General features: G+C 52.8%; 1 protein-coding gene across 8 annotated transcripts in view, besides 5 other annotated features; it reads left to right on the forward strand.

Annotated features, from left to right (window-relative positions):
* KCNN1 (potassium calcium-activated channel subfamily N member 1) overlaps positions 1-19851 on the forward strand; it is a 48796-nt gene that overhangs the window by 25633 nt on the left and 3312 nt on the right. For 2 of the 8 annotated variants that reach the window (NM_001386976.1, NM_001386975.1), the window contains 7 exons: positions 4787-5205; positions 5646-5654; positions 8390-8531; positions 11493-11603; positions 12794-12921; positions 16132-16140; positions 16568-16637. In NM_001386976.1, coding sequence (NP_001373905.1) covers positions 4787-5205; positions 5646-5654; positions 8390-8531; positions 11493-11603; positions 12794-12921; positions 16132-16140; positions 16568-16637 — 888 coding nt within the window. The remainder of the gene's footprint in view (positions 1-4786; positions 5206-5645; positions 5655-8389; positions 8532-11492; positions 11604-12793; positions 12922-16131; positions 16141-16567; positions 16638-19851) is intronic. The other 6 variants (NM_002248.5, NM_001386974.1, NR_170373.1 and 3 more) reach the window with 5 other exon arrangements.
* Positions 685-885: a silencer, noted in NCBI's record as "peak3399 fragment used in MPRA reporter construct". NCBI's record gives its function as "represses an SCP1 promoter by STARR-seq MPRAs in K562 erythroleukemia cells {active_cell/tissue: K562}" and the evidence as "EXISTENCE:reporter gene assay evidence [ECO:0000049][PMID:32103011]".
* Positions 7458-8139: an enhancer, noted in NCBI's record as "H3K4me1 hESC enhancer chr19:18095189-18095870 (GRCh37/hg19 assembly coordinates)". NCBI's record gives its function as "activates a minimal SCP1, AML or CMV promoter by ChIP-STARR-seq in naive H9 embryonic stem cells {active_cell/tissue: H9 hESC(naive)}" and the evidence as "EXISTENCE:reporter gene assay evidence [ECO:0000049][PMID:30033119]".
* Positions 11106-11607: an enhancer, noted in NCBI's record as "H3K4me1 hESC enhancer chr19:18098837-18099338 (GRCh37/hg19 assembly coordinates)". NCBI's record gives its function as "activates a minimal SCP1, AML or CMV promoter by ChIP-STARR-seq in naive H9 embryonic stem cells {active_cell/tissue: H9 hESC(naive)}" and the evidence as "EXISTENCE:reporter gene assay evidence [ECO:0000049][PMID:30033119]".
* Positions 11608-12107: an enhancer, noted in NCBI's record as "H3K4me1 hESC enhancer chr19:18099339-18099838 (GRCh37/hg19 assembly coordinates)". NCBI's record gives its function as "activates a minimal SCP1, AML or CMV promoter by ChIP-STARR-seq in naive H9 embryonic stem cells {active_cell/tissue: H9 hESC(naive)}" and the evidence as "EXISTENCE:reporter gene assay evidence [ECO:0000049][PMID:30033119]".
* Positions 14398-14692: a silencer, noted in NCBI's record as "tiled region #11250; K562 Repressive non-DNase unmatched - State 23:Low". NCBI's record gives its function as "represses a minimal TATA promoter and a strong SV40 promoter by Sharpr-MPRA in K562 cells {active_cell/tissue: K562}" and the evidence as "EXISTENCE:reporter gene assay evidence [ECO:0000049][PMID:27701403]".

Consider the following 19851-nt stretch of genomic DNA (forward strand, 5'->3'; position numbering starts at 1 on the left):
CCAGGCTGGTCTCGAACTCCTGACCTCAGGGTGATCCTCCCACCTTGGCCTCCCAAAGTGCTGGGATTACAAGCGTGAGCCACCATGCCTGGCCTATTCAACCTTAACAAAAGAACGAAACACCAAAACAGCAGAAATGTATTGTCTGAAAGTCTGGAGTATAGAAGTCTGAGATCAAGGCGTTAGCAGGGTTGGTTCCTTCTGAGAGCCATGAGAGACAATCCGTCCCAGGCCTCTCTCCTAGCTTTTGGTTGCTGCTGGCAATTTTGGGGGTTCTCAGCTTAGGAGATGTGTCACTCCAATCTCTGCCTTGAGGATCACATGATGTTCTCCCTTTGAGAGTGTCTGTGTCCAAATTTCCCCTTTTTAAAATAAGAACACCAGTCATTATTGGATTAGGGCCCACTGCAATTAGATGATTCCACTTTTTTTTTTTTGAGACAGAGTTTCACTCTGTCACCCACACTGGAATGCCGTGGCTTGATCACAGATCACTGCAGCCTCGACATCCTGGGCTTACACAGTCCTCCCACCTCAGCCCCCAGGTAGCTGGGATTACAAGCACTTGCCACCATGCCCAGCTAATTTTTAAATTTTTTGCTTTTTTTGTAGAAAGGGGGTCTTACCATGTTGGCCAGGCTGGTCTTGAACTCCTGGGCTGAAGCGATCCTCCCACTTCAGCCTCCCAAAGTGCTGAGATTTCAGGCGTGAGCCACTATGCCTGGCCTGATTCCAGCTTAACTTCATTTTAACTAGCCGACCTCGTTACAATGACCTCATTTAACGAGATGACCTCTATAAAGACCTTATCTCCATATAAGAGCACATTCAGAGGTACTAGAGGTCAGGATGCCAACATATCTTTTTCAGCAGAACACAAATCAACCTATAACAATTTCTGATACTGAACATGGATGAACCTCAGAAATACGACGCTCAGCAGAAGAACCCAGACATAAAAGGCCACAAATTGCATGCTTCCATTTATGTGAAATTTTCAGAAGATGCAAATCCGCAGAGACAGAAAGGAGATTAGTGGTTGCCGGGGGCTGGGAAAGGAGCGACTGCTAATGGGGACAGGGCTCCCTTTTGGGGTGATGGAAGTGTTCTGAAATTAGATAGAAGAGGTGTACTAAATCCCACTGAATTGTGCACTTTAAATGGGAGAATTATACGGTTTGTGAATTTCATATATGTATACTTGTTTTTTTTTTTTTTTTTTGAGATGGCGTCTTGCTCTGTCACCCAGGCTGGAGTACAGTGGTGCAATCTCAGCTCATTGCAACCTCCGCCTCCTGGGTTCAAGTCATTCTCCTGCCTCAGCCTCCTGAGTAGCTGGGATTACAGGTACCTGCCACCACACCTGGCCAATTTTTGTATTTTTCGTAGAGATGGGGTTTCACCATGTTGGCCAGGCTGGTCTTGAACTCCTGACCTCGTGTTCCACCCGCCTCGGCCTTCCAAAGTGCTGGGATTACAGGCATGAGCCACTGCCCAGCCTGTTTTTTTTTTTTTTTTTTTTAAACACAGGATCTCGTTCTGTCGCCCAGGCTGGAGTACAGTGGTGCAGTCAGAGTTCACTGCAGCTTGTACCTCCTGGGATCAAGGAGTCCTGCCTCAGCCTTCCAAGTAGCTGGGACCACAGGCACAGACCGCCATGCCCAGCTAAATGTAAAACCTTATATATACAGATATATAAAACCATACATATATAAAGACAGGATTTTCCTATGTTGCCCAGGCTGGTCTCAAACTCCTGGGCTAGAGTGATCCTCCTGCCTCAGCCTCCTAAAGTGTTGGGATTATAGGTGTGAGCCACAGACCCGGCTTTTTTTTTTAACTGTAATTCAGGCTGGACACAGTGACTCACGCCTGTAATCCCAATACTTTGGAAGGCCGAGGCAGGAGGATCACTCGAGCACAGGAGTTCGAGATCAGCCTGGGCAACGTGGCGAAACACCGTCTCTACACAAAAATTTTTTAAACAGTTAGCCAGGCATGGTGGTACACATCTGTAGTTCCAGCTACTTGGGAGGTTGAGGTGGGAGGATCACCTGAGCCCAGGGAGGTCAAGGCTGCAGTGAGCCATGATGGCGCCACTGCACACCAGCCTGGGGGACAGAATGAGACTCCCTCTCAAAACAAAAAACAAAACAAAACAAACAAACAACAAAATGGAGGCAGTATGGACAGTAACATAGCAAGACCCCTTCCTCTTAAAAAAAAAAAAAAAAAAAGGCCGGGCTCACGACTGTAATCCCAGCACTTTGGGAGGCCGAGGTGGGCGGATCACGAGGTCAGGAGATGGAGACCATCCTGGCTAACACGGTGAAACCCCGTCTCTACTAAAAATACAAAACATTAGCCAGGCGTGGTGGCGGGCGCCTGTAGTCCCAGCTACTCGGGAGGCTGAGGCAGGAGAATGGCGTGAACCCGGGAGTAGGAGCTTGCAGTGAGCCGAGATCGCGTCACTGCACTCCAGCCTGGGCAATGGAGCGAGACTCCGTCTCAAAAAAAAAAAAAAAAAAAAAAGGAAGGAGTTAGAGGCTCCAGTAAGCAGTAAGCTATGATCCCGCCAGAGCAGGACCCGGTCTCAAAAATAGGGTGGGGGGTGGGGGAGGGGGCGTGGCTGCATTCCTGATGATACCTTTTGCCTCCAGCTCCAATATGATTGGTCCCGGCTCCGTAACTGACAGATGTTATGTATCTTGGCGCTCCCCTCATCTCCCCTAGGACTGGCCCTGGATATGGCCAGGGTACCCCATGGAGGGTGAGCAATGGCGCTGTAGGGTGTCCTTTATGTCAACGCTTTGCCGATGTGCGAGCGGAGGAGGCCCCTAGAACGCGCGGCCGCCACATTTTAAGGAAGTGACTTTTTTTTCTTTTTCTTATTTTAGAATGACTTTATTGCTTCTTATTTTTAAAATGACACGTGAAAAAGGAAAAAAAAAGATACTTAAGAGTTATACACACGTTCAGAAGGAAGAGAAAAGTACAGTGAAGGGCTGGGCACCCACACCTGGAATCTCAGCACTTTGGGAGGCTGAGGAGGGAGGACTGCTGGAGCCCAGGAGTTCAAAGCCAGCCTGGGCAACAGAGCGAGTCCCCATCTCTGCATTAATTTTCTTTTTCTTTTTCTTTCTTTTTTTTTTTTTATCGAGACAAGAGTCTCACTCTGTTGCCCAGGCTGGAGTGCAGTGGCGCAATCTTGGCTCACTGCAACCTCTGCCTCCCAGGTTCAAATGATTCTTGTGCGTCAGCCTCTCAAGGCTGAGATTACAGGCACCCGCCACCACACCTAGCTAATTTTTTTTTTTTTTTTTTTTTTTTTTTTTTTGTATTTTTAGTAGAGACGGGGTTTTGCCATGTTGCCTGGGCTGGTCTCAAACTGCTGGCCTCAAGCAGTCCTCCTGCCTCCCAAAGCACTGGGATTACAGGCAGGAGCCACTGCACCCATTCTGTTTCCACTTTTGGAGGTTGTGAATAGTGCCGTTGTGAATGTGTCTGTCCAAGCGTTTGCTTAAACACTTGTTTTAGTTTCTCTTGAGTCTGTCTAGGAGTGGGATTGCTGGGTCATTAGTAACTCTATGTTGAACTTTTTGGGGAACACTCATATTTCGTTCGAACTGTGGCCAGTGCTGAGAACTAGAGAGTTTTGCATACGAGGTCACGTTTCTGACTTCTCTTGGAAAAATTTGAAGCTGGTGCGGTTGCTCACACCTGTGATTCCAGCACTCTGGGAGGCTGAGGCAGGAGGACACTTGAGGCCAGGAGTTTTAGACCAGCCTGGGCAAAATAGGGAGACCCCATCTCTACAGGAAATTTAAAAAATTAGCCAGGCATGGTGTTGCATGCCTGTAATCCCAGCTCCTCAGGAGGAGACTGAGGCAGGAGGATCACTTGAGCCCAGGAGGTCAAGACTGCAGTGAGCTGTGATTGCACCACTGCACTCCAGCCCGGGCACAGAGCAAGACCTTGTCTCCAAAAAAAGGAAAAAGAAAAGAAAAATCCTCGCCAGGCACAGTGGCTCACACGTGTAATCCCAGCACTTTGGGAGGCCGAGGCATGTGGATCACTTGAAGTCAGGAGTTTGAGACCAGCCTGGCCAACATGGTGAAACCCCGTATCTACTAAAAATACAAAAATTAGCCAGGCATGGTGGCAGGCACCTGTAATCCCAGCTACTCGGGAGGCTGAGGCAGGAGAATTGCTTGAACCCGGGAGGCAGAGGTTGCCAAGATCGTCTTCATGGTGCATGAGCCAAGTGAACCAGGATTGCGCCACTGCACTACAGCCTGTGCGACAGAGTGAGACCCTGTCTCAAGAAAAAGAAAAAGAAAGAAAAGAGGCTGGGCATGGTGGCTTACGCCTGTAATCCCTGCACTTTGGGAGGCCGAGGTGGGCAGATCACCTGAGGTCAGGAATTCGAGACTAGCCTGGCCAACATGATGAAACCCCATCTCTACTAAAAATACAAAAATTAGCCAGGTGTGGTGGGGCAAGCCTGTAATTCCAGCTACTCCGGAGGCTGAGGCAAGAGAATTGCTTTCACCCAGGAGGCGGAGATTGCAGTGAGCAGAGATCGTGCCACTGCACTCCAGCCTGGGCGATAAGAGCAAAACTCCATCTCAAAAAAAAAAAAAAAAGAAAGAAAGAAAGAAAGAAAAATCCGAGCCTGTGGGGTTTCAGGCCAGGCTGACGTCACTCTCTGGGGGCGCGGTGGGGCTGGGCAGGGAGCGCGGCGCGTGTCTGACACCCATGGCTGGTTCCCTCCCGCCCTCCACAGCTGTTCATGGTGGACAACGGGGCTGATGACTGGCGCATCGCCATGACCTGCGAGCGCGTGTTCCTCATCTCGCTAGAGCTGGCAGTGTGCGCCATTCACCCGGTGCCCGGCCACTACCGCTTCACGTGGACGGCGCGGCTGGCCTTCACGTACGCGCCCTCGGTGGCCGAGGCCGACGTGGACGTGCTGCTGTCCATCCCCATGTTCCTGCGCCTCTACCTGCTGGGCCGGGTGATGCTACTGCACAGCAAAATCTTCACGGACGCCTCGAGCCGCAGCATCGGGGCCCTCAACAAGATCACCTTCAACACGCGCTTCGTCATGAAGACACTCATGACCATCTGCCCCGGCACCGTGCTGCTGGTCTTCAGCATCTCCTCCTGGATCATCGCAGCCTGGACCGTGCGCGTCTGCGAGAGGTGCGACCGCCGCCCCTGGAGCCCCCCCAGCCCCCAGCCCCCGTCTCCCTGGACCTCCATGCCCATTCATGATTTCACCGACCCTGGGCCCCTCCCGACCCTGGCCATTGCTTCTGTCTCCCCGACTGCAAGACACCCGTGGTGCCTCCTGTCTTCCAGTTTGTGGCTTCAGTAATCATCCTCCCTGGGGACCTAACCCTGTGTCCCCAGCTGCCCTCAACCAGGGAGGGACCCCAGCTCCCTCTCCCTCATCCTCCCTGCCAGGGTCTCCCAAGCTTCCTTCTCCCAGCCCCTCGGCTCCCTGGGAGGCTGACTCCCGATCTCTGGCCCCGGGGGGCGCAGGCAGCAGGCACAGGGATGCCTCCCCGTCCCCTCTGTCTCCCATCTCCCACGTTTAACCAGCTTTCATTTTCCCCTCTGCCCGCTCCACTGGACTTTAGGGAAAACATGTGAGTCCCACCCTCCGCTGAGCTGTGTGCGCAGAGCAGCCACTGCCACCGCTGCCGCCATCCCCGACCCGCTAGGAATTTAAGATTAGCTGCCGCAAGGGGAGGGAGGCAGGGAGAACGGGCCCGGCGGGGTGGGTCGGGGTAAGTCACCCCGTCACGGGGGCAGGCCACTCCACTGGGCGTCCTCTCCGAGCCTCAGGGCCCTTGTGTCCGAAGGGTGAGGGATTAAGGAAGGGCTTGGCTCTCATGTTGTGTTTGGGCAGCTGACCCCTGGGAGCTCCGATGTTTCCTCCCAAGACTTAAATGGATCTGGGGTGGGCTAGGTGCGGTGGTGGTGCCTGTGATCCCAGCTACTCGGGAGCCTGAGGCAGGAGAATCGCTTGAACCTGGGACGCGGAGGTTGCAGTGAGCTGAGATTGCGCCACTGCACTCCAGTCAAAAAAAAAAAAGACAAATAAATGGGTCTGGGATGAAGGAAAACCGGCCGTGCCTTTGGGACCTCCAAGCAGGAGGGAGTCTGTTGTAAATACCCCTAGGAGGTGGTGGACCATCAACCCGATTTACAGAGAGGGAAACTGAGGCTCTGGGGGACAAAGGGACTTGCCCGGAGCCTTGAGTCCTGGCAGTCTCAGAGGCAGGAGGGGCTCCGCCAGGCCTGGGGTGTGAGGGTGCCTTATCTGGGAGAGGGTCTCCCTGCCATGCGCCTAGCTGGTGGAGGCCCTGGAGGGGTCCCTGGCTGGACCCCTGCTTGCCCTCAGCACCCCATCCTCATCCCTCCACCCAGCCCCCACCCCCCATACTCCCACGGGCCCTGCCTGGGCATGAGGCCTGGCTCTCAGGGATGAAAGGCCCAGTTTCTCTGGCTGTTAAGGCTTCCAGGGCTCTCCTTGGGCTCTTGATGTTCCCCCATGCAGCTCTCACACCCCTGATGGGTGGGGTCAGAACTAGGGTTAGGGGTATGGGGTGCCCCTCGTCAGGTATCCCTGAGGTCCAAGCTGGGTCCTTGCAGGGCTCTGGGGGGGTGGGGCACGGGGCAGGGCCGGCAGGCAGCCAATCCTAAATTCTGAGCCTGGCGACAATGCTTGAAGCCCCCTTGCCTGCCTCGCTCTGACCCACCCCCGCCTCCCGCATGTCCCCCAGCCGTGCTCCTGGGTGGTCCCGCGGCACCCCCCACCATCGCTCCGTCTGGATCTGGGGCTCACCCACCCACCGACTAGAGGGCACCCCCCCGCCCCTCCTGCCCTCTGGGGGTCAGGCAGCTTGGGGCTCAGATGTTTTGGTGTAAGATGGGGGTCAGTCAGCTGGGCACCGTGGCTCATGCCTGTAATCCCAGCACTTTGGGAGGCCGAGGCGGGTGGATTACCAGGTCAGGAGATTGAGACCATCCTGGCTAACATGGTGAAACCCTGTCTCTACTAAAAATACAAAAAAAAAAAATTAGATGGGCATGGTGGCGGGCGCGTGTAGTCCCAGCTACTCGGGAGGCTGAAGCAGGAGAATCGCTTGAACCCGGGAGGTGTAGGTTGCAGTGAGCCAAGATCATGCCACTACACTCCAGCCTGGGCAACAGAGAGAGATATTGTCTCAAAAAAAAAAAAAGATAGGGTCAGTCCCTGGGCCTTTACCCAGCAAGTGTCCTAGAAGCCCAGACTGGAGGTGCCTGGAGTGGCATTCGACTTCCGCGGGAGTGAAGACCCCCAAATGCCAATATTTGGGGAGCCCCCATCTCCTTCCCTCTGGAGCCTGACCCCAGCCCTATCCTTGGGCTGTGTCACCCACTGTGCCTGGCACAGGCCTCCCCTGAAGATCCTGCTCTATCCAGGCCACTTCCTCGGTGCTACCCCAGTTGGCCTCTGACCTTGAACACCCCAGAGGCTGGCTTGGGGCTCAGGTGATCTAAGCCCTGGGAAGGAGTGGGTTAGCTGGAAGCCAGGTCAGAGGGGGCCCAGTCTCCAGAAAAAGGCCAAGGGGATTTGGGGACTGAGAGCTGAGTGGGAACAGATCCTAGAGCCACCCCCAGACCCAGAGAGCCAAGCCCTCGGCCCGCTAGCATGGCCACAGGCAGAACCTCTTTGCAGCCCCTCTGGCCGAAGTCCCAAGCCTGGCTGTGACCAGGACTAAGTTCTGTCAGTCTTGGGGCCTGTCTCCCTGGGTCCCAAATATAGCCCCAGGCATCTCCCCAGTGCCAAAGCCGATGCCCCTCTCTTCCCAACCCCCAGATGCAACATAGGCTGAGTTGGGGGACTCATGCTGTCCTCCAGTCTATGTCCTTCCTATATGGACGTCCCTTCTTCACTCGAGCCCCAGGTGGTGATCCTCCAGCCTCCCACCTCCTCCAGTCCTCCTCCCTCCTTGGGGCCTTGCTGGCTGAGAAAGTTCTTCCTGGTGTCTGTCCTGAATTCTTGCCTCCACCTCCTGCTGCTTCTGGTGCTGTGGTCACCCATCCCCCTGTCTGTGTGTGTCTGTCGTTGGGAGGGGGATTGTATGTTCATACAACCTCACCTGGGCCCCTCTCTGCCCCATCCAGGGAAGCAGCTTGGGGGGGCAGGCAAAGGGAATGTGGAAGGGCTGTAGCGGGGGAGAGGGTGCGCCTGTCCTGTACCCACAGGACATAGCCCCAACGCAGCGAGGTGGACTCAGGGCCCTCCAGCCCTGGCGCTGCCCCAGGGGGTGTGATGGAGGCAAAGGGGATGGTATAGACTGAGCCCTCCCTCTTCCCACTCTGGCTCCCCCAGGTACCACGACAAGCAGGAAGTGACCAGCAACTTCCTGGGGGCCATGTGGCTGATTTCCATCACCTTCCTCTCCATTGGCTACGGCGACATGGTGCCCCACACCTACTGCGGGAAGGGTGTGTGCCTGCTCACTGGCATCATGGTAAGGGTGAGGGTCCATGTGTATGATCCTGGGAGGTCCAGCCAGCTGCCCGCTCCACCAGCCCTTGCATACCCCTTGCTGACAGGGTGCTCATCCCATCACGAGCTGTGCCTGATCAGCGTCCCTCCATCTGTCAGTCCACCCCTCCCCTGCTCTGCTCTTTTCCTCTGACGTCACGTGGAAGCCACACCCACAGGCTTCCTGGGACATCTCCATGCGGTCCTTCCAGGCCTAGATATGCAGCTCCCACCATGCCTGCCCAGTAAGAAGCTGCGGTCCACTCTGACCAGAGAGTCACTGTCACCCCTTTATTCTCTACAGCCTGATTTATTCACAGCCTTTGGATCCAGGGCAAGGGGCTTGATGCTGATGTGCCTTAGTTTCCTCAGCTGTGACCAGCGCTACTTCCTCTGCTTTGCAAGGGCTAAGTCGGTTATTTATGTGAGAATCCCAGAACTGTGAATGCCATGGACATGCTATAACTACCTGCTGGGGGCCGGGCGTGGTGGCTCATGCCTGTAATCCCAGCACTTTGGGAGGCCAAGGTGGGCAGATCACCTGAGGTTGGGAGTTTGAGATCAGCCTGTGACCAACATGGAGAAACCCTGTCTCTACTAAAAATACAAAAATAGCCGGGAGTGGTGGCTCACACCTGTAATCCCAGTACTTTGGGAGGCCAAGGCGGGTGGATCACGAGGTCAGGAGTTCAAGACCAGCCTGGCCAACGTGGTGAGACCCAGTCTGTACTAAAAATACAAAATTAGCCGGGCGTGGTGGTGGGTGCCTGTAATCCCAGCTACTAGGGAGGCTGAGGCATGAGAATTGCTTGAACCCAGGAGGCAGAGGTTGTGGTGAGCGGAGATCACGTCATTGCACTCCAGCCTGGGCAACCAGAGTGAACTAAGTCTCAAAAAAAAAAAAAAGAAAAAAGAAACCTGCTGGGCTGTGTCCTCTGCAGCCCAAACTCCCTTCCTTAGCTGACTTTCGGGGTGTTCCCTGAGTTTTTCGTGACAGTGGGCGCAGGCAGCACCCCGTCTCCCCGAAGGATTCTCAAGTCTGCCGTGGGTGCCTGTGAACATCCTTTCACACTCACTGCTTTCTCTTTTCCCTAATTCAGTCATCGGGGTCCCTGTCCATCCCCTCTTTCCAGAGCCTTCTTTCTCTCCAGACATGTTTTATGCCCATGCCAACAAACGCTTTTCCATGTTTTATTTTTATGTTTTTATAAAGATGGGGTCTCACTATGTTGCCCAGGCTGGTCATGAACTCCTGGGCTCAAGTGATCCTCCTGCTTGGGCCTCCCAAGGTGCTGGAGTTACAGGCCTAAGCAACTGCACCTGGCCCATGCCTGACTTTGTTTTTTTCCTCATTGAGATGGAGTCTCACTCTGTTGCCCAGCCTGGAGTGCAACGGCACGATCCCAGCTCACTGCAACCTCCGCCTCCCGGGTTCAAGCCATTCTCCTGCCTCAGCTTCCTGAGTAGCTGGAATTACAGGCGCCTGCCACCAGGCTCGGCTAATTTTTCTATTTTTAGTATAGACAGGGTTTCATCATGCTGGCCAGTCTGGTCTTGAACTCCCAACCTCAGATAATCCACCTGCCTCAGCCTCCCAAGGTGCTGGGATTACAGGCATGACGCCACCACGCTGGCCCTTTTTTTCTTTTTTTTTTTTGAGATAGAGTCTCGCTCTGTCGCCCAGGCTGGAATGCAGTGGCGTGATCTCAGCTCACTGCAACCTTCCCCTCCCAGGTTCAAGCGATTCTCCTGCTTCAGCCTCCTGAGTAGCTGGGATGGCAGGCACCTGCCACCAGGCCCAGCTAATTTTTGTATTTTTAGTACAGACAGGGTTTCACCATGTCGACCAGGCTGGTCTCGAACTCTTGACCTCAGGTGATCCACCCACCTTGGCCTCCCAAAGTGCTGGGATTACAGGTGCAAGCCACTGCACCTGGTCCGTGTCTGCTTTTTTGCTGGCAGCCCAGCATGGGTCCCTCCCTGTAGCATCTGTGTGGTGCATCATGCTGTTGCAGAGCCGTTGTCCATTCCTTTTCCTTGCTGTCTAGTATTCTAGGTGGAGGTTTCCAGCAAGTCACTCTGTCCCAGTTGACAGGGATTTTCCTGAGAACAGGCTTCTGGGTCCTCTCAAAACCTTTGTCCTGGCCTGGAAACCGAGACAGGGTTTCCTCCGGGAGCCCCTGCTTGTGCTCTAGGCCAACCCTGCTCAGGCTCAGGGTGTTGGCATCTAAACCTGCCTGGGGCTGGGCATGGTAATGGCTCATGCCTGTAATCCCAGCACTTTGGGAGGCCGAGGTGGGTGGATCATTTGAGGCCAGGTGTCCGAGACCAGCCTGGGCAACATAGTGAGACCCCATATCGCTACCAAAAAAAAAAAAAAAAAAAAACAGGGCCAGGCGCAGTGGCTTACACCTGTACTCCCAGCACTTTGGGAGGCCAAGGCGGGTGGATCACCTGTCAGGAGTTCGAGACCAGCCTGACCAACATGGTGAAACCCCCCCTTTACTAAACAAACACACACACACACACACACAATTAGCGGGATGTGGTGGTGCACGCTTCTAGTTCCAGCTACTCAGGAGGCTGAGGCAGGAGAATCGCTTGAACCTGGGAAGTGGAGGTTGCAGTCAGCTGAGATTGTGCCACTGCACTCCAGCCTGGGCGACAGAGCGAGACTCCATCTCAAAAAAAAAAAAAAAAAAAAAAAGAATCGTCCTACCTCCTGGAGTTGTTGGGGGTCGAATGAGCTAATGTGTGGGACATGGTTCCCTCTGACATTTGATGAATAGGAAACGAGTAGACCTGAAGTCAGTGAGCTCAGCAGATGGAATCCACTCACACTGCTGGCTCAGAGAATGGGGAGGCTGCAATCTGGGCAGGCTTCCTGGAGGAGGGAGTGACCTCAAGACAGGACGCTGATGTGCCCCCTCTGCCCTGCACACAGGGAGCTGGCTGTACCGCGCTCGTGGTGGCTGTGGTGGCTCGGAAGCTGGAGCTCACCAAGGCTGAGAAGCACGTGCACAACTTCATGATGGACACTCAGCTCACCAAGCGGGTGAGGACCGCGGTTCCCATGGAGGCCGCCTCCTGGCCTTGTCAGCGAGCGTAGAACTTCCCTGCTTTCCCTCTGTACGTGCCGGGCATGCTCATGTGCCCATGGGTTACCATGCAGCCCCGTGTCAAGACTGTGCTGGCTTTGGGAGGCCAAGGCAGGTGGATCACCTAAGGCCAGGAGTTCGAGACCAGCCTGGCCAACATGGCAAAATCCCATCTCTACTAAAAATACAAAAATTAGCCTGGCATGGTGACGGACGCCTGTAGTCCCATCCACTTGGGAGTCTGAGGCAGGAGAATCGCTTGAGCCTGGGAAGCAGAGGCTGCAATAAGCCAAGATGGCACCACTGCACTCGAACCTGGGTGACAGAGCAAGACTCCGTTTAAAAAAAAAAAAAAAAGGACTGTGCTTGGCTCTGCCACCACGCACCCATCTGTGAGTAATGCACAGAGAGACATCGTGGCATCAACCCTTGTGCCCAGTCACGTCCAGCCATGAGCATTCAGTAAGAGGCTTGAGCCAGACCGCCATATGCAATTTGAGAGCTGCCTGACCCTAGCGGGTTGACTGCTCTGTACCTCAGCTTCCCCATATAGAAAATCAGGGAAATAAAAACACATGCCGATTCACTGAGTTAACATCTGCATCATGGCCGGGCGCGGTGGCTCACGCCTGTAATCCCAGCACTTTAGGAGGCCGAGGCGGGCGGATCACTTGAGGTCAGGAGTTCAAAACCAGCCTGGCCAACGTGATGAAACCCCATCTCTAGTAAAAATACAAAAATTAGCTGAGCGTGATCGCAGGCGCCTGTAATCCCAGCTACTAGGGAGAGTGAGGCAGAAGAATCACTTGAACCTGAGAGGTGGAGGTCGCAGTGAGGCAAGATCATGCCACTGCATTCCAGTCTGGGCCACAGAGCCTCAAAAAACAAACAAACAAACAAACAAACAAAAAACATTAAAAACATTTGCATGGTGCATAGAAGGGGCCTGGCCCATCATGAGTGATGTGTGTTAGGTATACACACACTGCACAGATGTTGTTGTACAAGCATGGCCCTGCCTTATAGCCCAGGGACCCTGAGAGGCATTTCCAGAAGTTTCTAGAGGTTTCTGGAAGATTCTAGACATTTCTGGAGCCTTTTGGAATTTCGCGCCAACCCTGAGGAATTGTTCTTTTTCTGGCCCCAGGTAAAAAACGCCGCTGCTAACGTTCTCAGGGAGACGTGGCTCATCTACAAACATACCAGGCTGGTGAAGAAGCCAGACCAAGCCCGGGTTCGGAAACACCAGCGTAAGTTCCTCCAAGCCATCCATCAGTAAGTCCAGCACCTTTCCAGCTCACGTTTCTGTGTCCACATGGCGCGGAGGCAGCCCTCGCAGCTCTGTGTGGCCTCTTCACGGCTCCCTGCCAGGGACGGGTGGTCAGTTGGTTGGGGCCTGCATCTTCTGAGCTGGGTGGATGGGAGGATCTTCAGAGGGAGGCAGATGATGGGGTCTGCTAAATCATGGACACGACTCAGTAAGTGGCAGGATGTATATTTTATTCTCTGGAATAACCAGGATAATTCTTACCCTTTAGACTTTGAAGCGATTTCCTCTTTTTGCTTTGTCTGCCAGGAGGCTCATAGTTAAATCCATGGTCTGATCCATGGGATCATGTAGGATAACTAGAAATGAATTGGGCCAGGTGCGGTGGCTCATGCCTGTAATCCCAGCACTTTGGGAGGCAGGAAGATCGCTTGAGTCCAGGAGTTCAACACCATCCGTGGCAATACAGGGAGACCCCATCTCTACAAAAACTAAGAACTTAACTGGGTGTGGTGGTGTGCCTCTGTGGTCCCAGATACTCGGGAGGCTGAGGTGGAAGGATCACTTGAGTCTGCAGGGTCAAGGCTGCAGTGAGCCATGATTGCGCCACTGCACTCAGCTGGGTTACAAAGTGAGACCTTGTCTCAAAAAAAAAAAAAGAAAGAAAAGAAAAAGAAAAAAAAGGCCGGGCGCGGTGGCTCACGCCTGTAATCCCAGCACTTTGGGAGGCCGAGGTGGGTGGATCACGAGGTCAGGAGATCAAGACCATCCTGGCTAACACAGTGAAACCTCGTCTCTACTAAAAATACAAAAAATTAGCCGGGCGTGGTGGCGGACGCCTGTAGTCCCAGCTACTCGGGAGGCTGAGGCAGGAGAATGGCATGAACCCAGGAGGCGGAGCTCGCAGTAAGCTGAGATTGCGCCGCTGCACTCCAGCCTGGGCGACAGAGTGAGACTCTGTCTCAAAAAAAAAAAAAAAGAAAGAAAAAGAAAAAAAAGAAGAAAGAAATTGCTTGATTCCCTATGTTGTTTCTTTGCCCTGAGAACTATTTAATAAAGTAGCTCTAAATCCTTGGCTGCTCATTGAAGTCACCAGGGGGCTTTTTAAAAATCCCAAGAGCCACATCCAACATCAGTTACTTAGTAGAGTCTGGGTTGCAGTCTGGGTTTACATTTAAATTCCTCAAATGACTGCTTGGTTGGGCATGGTGGCTCACACTTATAATCCCTGCACTTTGGGAGGCCAAGGAGGGAAGACTGATTGAGGCCAAGATTTGGAAACCAGCCTGGGAAACATAGTGAGACCCCACTCTATGTAAAAATTAAAAAATAAAGCGAGGCGTGGTGACTCACACCTCGTAATCCCAGCACTTTGGGAGGCTGAGCCAGGAGGATCGCTTGAGGCCAGGAGTTTGCAACCAGCCTGGGCAACAAAGTGAGACCCCGTCTCTACAAAAATAAAAAAATTAGCCCAGTGTGGTGGCATGTGTCTATGGTCCCAGCTACCCAGGAGGTTGAGGTGGGAGGATAACTTGAGCCCAGAAGGTCAAGGTTGCAGCGAGCTGTGATTGCGCCACTGCACTCCAGCCTGGGCCACAGAGCAAGGCCTTGCCTTAAAAAACTATATATGGCTGGGTGCAGTGGCTCACGCCTGTAATCCCAGCACTTTGAGAGGCCGAGGCAGGTGGATCCCCTGATGTCAGCCTGGCCAACATGGCGAAACCTTGTCTCTACTAAAAATATAAAAATTAGCCGGGCATGGTGGCACGTGCCTGTAGGTTGTACTGAGCTGAGATCGCACCACTGCACTCCAGCCTGGGCGACAGAGTAAGACTCAGTCTCAAAAAATCAAAAATAAAATATATTAAAATAAGTAAATAAATAAAATTTCCTCAGTTGAGTCCAATATGCAGCCAGTCAGCAAACTTTTTCTGTAAAGGGCCAGATGGTAAATCTTTCAGGTTTTATGGGCCAGACCGTTTCTGTCCCACTCTTCAACTCTCTGCTGCTGAGGCAGGGAAGCAGTGAGGATAACCTGGTGTGGCCATGTTCCAAAGAAACCTTATTTTCCAAGACAGGCGGCCGGCTAGATTTGACCCACAGGCCATAATATGCTGACGACAATGCTGTCCACTAGAATATCACGTGAGCAACATATATAATTTTAAATTTGCTAACAGCCACATTAGAAAAAAGTACAAAAGGCTGGGCGCGGTGGCTCACACTTGTAATCCCAGCACTTTGGGAGGCCGAGATGGGTGGATCATTTGAGGTCAGGAGTTCAAGACCAGCCTGACCAACATGGTGAAACCCCATCTCTACTAAAAATACAAAAAAATTAGCTGAGCGTGGTGGCACATGCCTGTAGTCCCAGCTACTCGGAAGGCTGAGGCAGGAGAATCACGTGAACCTGGGAAGCTGAAGTTGCAATGAGCCAAGATCACTTTGAGACAGTCCCCTGGACTGGCTTAGGTACAGAAGGGAGTGCCAGCAGGTGCAGTGGCTCATGCCTGTAATCCTTTTGGAGGCTGAGACGGGCGGATCACATGAGGTCAGGAGTTCGAGACCAGCCTGACCAACATGGTGAAACCCCATCTCTACTAAAAATACAAAAATTAAACCAGGTGTGCTGGTGAGCGCTTGTAATTCCAGCTACTCAGAAGGCTGAGCCAGGAGAATCGCTTGAACCGGGGAAGTGGAGGTTGCAGTGAGCTGAGACCATGCCACTGCACTCCCGCCTGGGTGACAGAGTGAGACTCCGTCTCAAAAAAAACAAAGGGATGGTCAAAAGGGGCGAGGGCATACACTAACCAACTCCCCCTGCGGCCAGCTGTCCAGAGACCAGGGTCACCAGTGCCAACACCAACACCAAGTAGCAAGTGTGGGTTCAAATCCTGCCGGGGTGCGGATGGGCAGTGGCTTTACCCCTCTGAGCCTCAGTTTCCCCCTCAGGAGATGGTGTCGGCATAGTTTTCTGAATGAAACACCGCCTCCGGTGGTGGTGAGAGGACAGGTGTGCCCCTGAGGGGCTGGCACAGAACCCTCAGAGGCTGGGCACCTCCCCAGAGCAACGGCAGCCCCTCGGCCATCTGGGAACCCCGCGCGGGGCCCTAGGGTGGCATCCCCGGGAGGTGGGCAGGGTTGGGTACATGCCGAACAACTGTGCTGAGGTTAAAATTGCCTTGTGATTTTTCTCCTGCTCTGCCCGGTCCTGCCAGGGCTCAGAAGTAAGTGTTCTCCCAGGGGCTTGGTGGGGCTGGGAAATCGGGGGTGCATGGTGGTCACAGACAGGGGGTACACCCGGGGCATGCCAACCCCAGCCTCAGAGGCGGGCAGGGTTCACATCTGCCCCATGGATCCGTGCAGGCTTCACCTTGGTCTGGGATCCAACTTCCTGGGGCAGTCCTGAGTTGGGCCGGAGACAGGACCAGCCAATGGGTGGTGTGGGCGGTGGCCAGGCTGACTTCTGGCCCTGGCGCACCGGCTGTGTACTGGGAGGGAATAGACTACAGGGAATCGGCCTCCCAACTCCCACCTCATCCTCTGATGCATGTCCCATAGGTGACCCCGGGTGGGTGCATGAAAGTCCCTGCCCCCACTGCAGCCTCCACGGGAACCTGCCTAACCCCCTCCCCCAACCCCGTGTCCCCACAGGCTCCGGAGTGTGAAGATCGAGCAAGGGAAGCTGAACGACCAGGCTAACACGCTTACCGACCTAGCCAAGGTGAGTGGGTTGGGGCAGGGTGGGCCAGACAGGGCAGGTGGGGCCCCGGAGCAGATGGGATGGGGCTCAGCTCCTGCCGGAGGAGGGCACAAGGACCCGCTGTGGGCTGAGTGCAGTGGCGGGCGGATCGCTTGAGCTCAGGAGTTTGAGACCAGCCTGGGCAACATGGTGAAATCCCGTCTCTACAAAAAAAATACAACAATTAGCCAGGCGTGGTGGCGGGCGCCTTTAATCCCAGCTACTTGGGGGCTGAGGGAGGAGAATCGCTTGAACTTGGGGGGTTGAGGCTGCAGTGAGCCGAGATGGCACCACTGCAGTCCAGCCTGGGTGACAGAGTGACACCCTGTCTCAAAAAAATGATAATAATTTTAAAAATAATTTAAAAATTTAAAAAGAGTACACAATTAGGGGGCTAAATGGGTGAAGAGGTATTTCTAGATTTAGGCATACCACCTCAATTCAAGATCTGAAATGGAAGAGAAAAAATTCCTTTGCTATGGGTATAAATTCAAATGATAGCCTTGGGAGAAAGCTTTGTATAATTTGTATAGCAATTAAACATCTGTCAGGAAATTTAAATTGATTGCAAGAGAAATTGGGGCCAGCTGGGTTCAATGGGTCATGCCTATAATCCCTGTACTTTGGGAGGCTGAGGCAGGCAGATCACTTGAGCCCAAGAGGTTGAGACCAGCCTGGGCAGCACAGAGAGACCCCATCTGTACAAAAAGAATAAAAAAATTAACCAGGCATGGTGGTGAGTGCCTGTAGTCCCAGCTATTAGGGAGGCTGAGGCGGGAGAATCACTTGAGCCCAGGAGGTCAAGGCTGCTGTGAGGTATGATCACTCTGCTGCACTCTAGCCTGGGCAACAGAGCGAGACCCTGTCTCAAAAAAAAAAAAAAAGCAAGAAAGAAATCAGTTTGTGTTATACATGGATCTGTGTGTTGATTCGAATATCAAGTCATCTCCCACTTTTTTTTTTAGCTTTATTTATTTATTTTTTGAGACAGAGTCTTGCTCTGTCACCCAGGCTGGAGTGCAGTGGCGTGATCTCAGCTCACTGCAACTTCCGCCTCCCGGGTTCAAGCAATTCTCGTGCTTCAGCCTCCAGAGTAGCTGGGATTACAGGCATGCACCAGCATGCCCGGCTAATTTTTGTACTTTTAGTAGAGACGGGGTTTCGCCATGTTGGCCAGCCTGGTCTCGAACTCCTGACCTTAAGTGATCCACCCCCCTCAGCCTCCCAAAGTGTTGGGATTACAGGCGTGGGCCACCGTGCCCAGCCCATTTCCCACTTTTTGAATTCTTCCACTGGAAGATGTGTCACTGGACCAGTTGCAATTAATCAAGTGCTTGAGATCTTTGCAACACTGATTTGAATTCCCTTCTGACCAATGACATAGTTTCAGAAAATAGCTTTTGCTCAGTGGCTACATCCCCTGATCTATCAGTCAGCTTGAGGCTAATTTCATGTTATCTTTAGAAAATGTTAAGTCCCATTCTATTTTATTTCTTGTCCCCAGTGCATTTTGGACTCACTTCCTCCATCACTAGGAAGAGAATGCAATCTAGCTTAATATTAACCTACAAGAAATTTAATTTGGAAGGGAATCTTCTTTTTTTTTTTTTTCTGAGACAGGGTCTTGCTCTGTGGTACAGGCTGGAGTGCAGTGGCAAAATCATGGCTCACCGCAGCCTCAACCTCCCCAGGCTCAAGCAATCCCCCCAACTCATCCTCTTGAGTAGCTGGGACTACAGGCGCACACCACCAGGTCCTGCTAATTTTTGTATTTTTTGTAGAGATGGGGTTTCACCATGTTGCCCAGGCTGGTCTCAAACTCCTGAGCTCAAGTGATCCTCCCGCCTTGGCCTCCCAAAGTGCTGGGATTACAGGCGTGAGCCACCGCACCCAGAAAAGAATCTTACAGAGAGAAAAACATATTCTAGACCCCTGAAGATATACAGTTAACTCTCGAACATGGGGGTTATGGGGTGCTGACCCCTTAAAAGTCAAATATTCCCATATAACTTCTTTTTTTCTTTTTGAGACAGAGTCTCACTCTGTTGCCCAGGCTGGAGTGCAGAGGTGCGATCTCAGCTCACTGCAGCCTCCATCTCCTAGGTTTAAGGTATTCTCCTGCCTCAGCCTCCTGAGTAGCTAGGATTACAGGTGTATGCCGCCACGCCTAGCTACTTTTTGTATTTTTAGTAGAGATGGGGTTTCACCATGTTGGCCAGGCTGGTCTCGAACTCCTGACTTCAAGTAATCCACCTGCCTTGGCCTCCCAAAGTGCTGGGATTACAGGCATAAGCCACTGTGCCCGGCCTCATATAAGTTTTGACGCCCCCTCACCCCAAATTTAACTACTGATAGCCTACCATTGACCAAAAGCCTTACTGATAAACAGTTGATTCACATATATTTTGTGTATATATACTGTATTCTTACAGTAAGGTATGGTAGAGAAAGGAAAATATTAAGAAAATCAGGCCAGATGCAGTGGCTCATGCCTGTAATCCTAGCACTTTGGGAAGTTGAGGAGGGGGGATCACTTGAGCTCAGGAATTCAAGACCAGCCTGGGCAACATGGCAAAACTCCATTGCTACAAAAAAAAAAAAAAAAAAATAGAAAAATTAGCAGGAGGCTGAGGTGGGAGGATCACTTGAGCCTGGGAGGTAAAAGCTGCAGTCAGCTGTGACTGTACCACTGCACTCCAGTCTGGGAGACAGAGCAAGACTCTGTCTCTAAAAAATAAAATTTTAAGCCTGGGTGTAGTGGCTCATCCCTGTAATCCCAGCACCTTGGGAGGCAAAGGTGGGCGGATCACCTGAGGCCAGGAGTTCAAGACCAGCCTGGCCAACATGGTGAAACTTTGTCTCCACTAAAAATACAAAAATTAGCCGGGTGTGGTAGCGGGCACCTGTAATCTCAGCTACTTGGGAGGCTGAGGCAGGAGAGTCGCTTGAACCCAGGAGGTGGAGGTTGCAGTGAGCCGAGATCATGCCTCTGCACTCCAGCCTAGACAACAAGAGCGAGACTTCGTCTCAAAAATAAAAATAAAAATAAAAATTTTAAACCTCAGAAAAGACTAAAAAGAACCACCTGAAGGCTGGACACTGCTCTGGCCTCCAGATGTCACCCTCTGGCTCTAGGGACTGTGGTGCCTGAGAGAGGCCAGGGTAAGGTCAGTGGTGCTAGGAGGGGAGGCCCCCA

Source organism: Homo sapiens, chromosome 19, assembly GCF_000001405.40.
Source record: "Homo sapiens chromosome 19, GRCh38.p14 Primary Assembly".
NCBI classification, from domain to species: domain Eukaryota; kingdom Metazoa; phylum Chordata; class Mammalia; order Primates; family Hominidae; genus Homo; species Homo sapiens.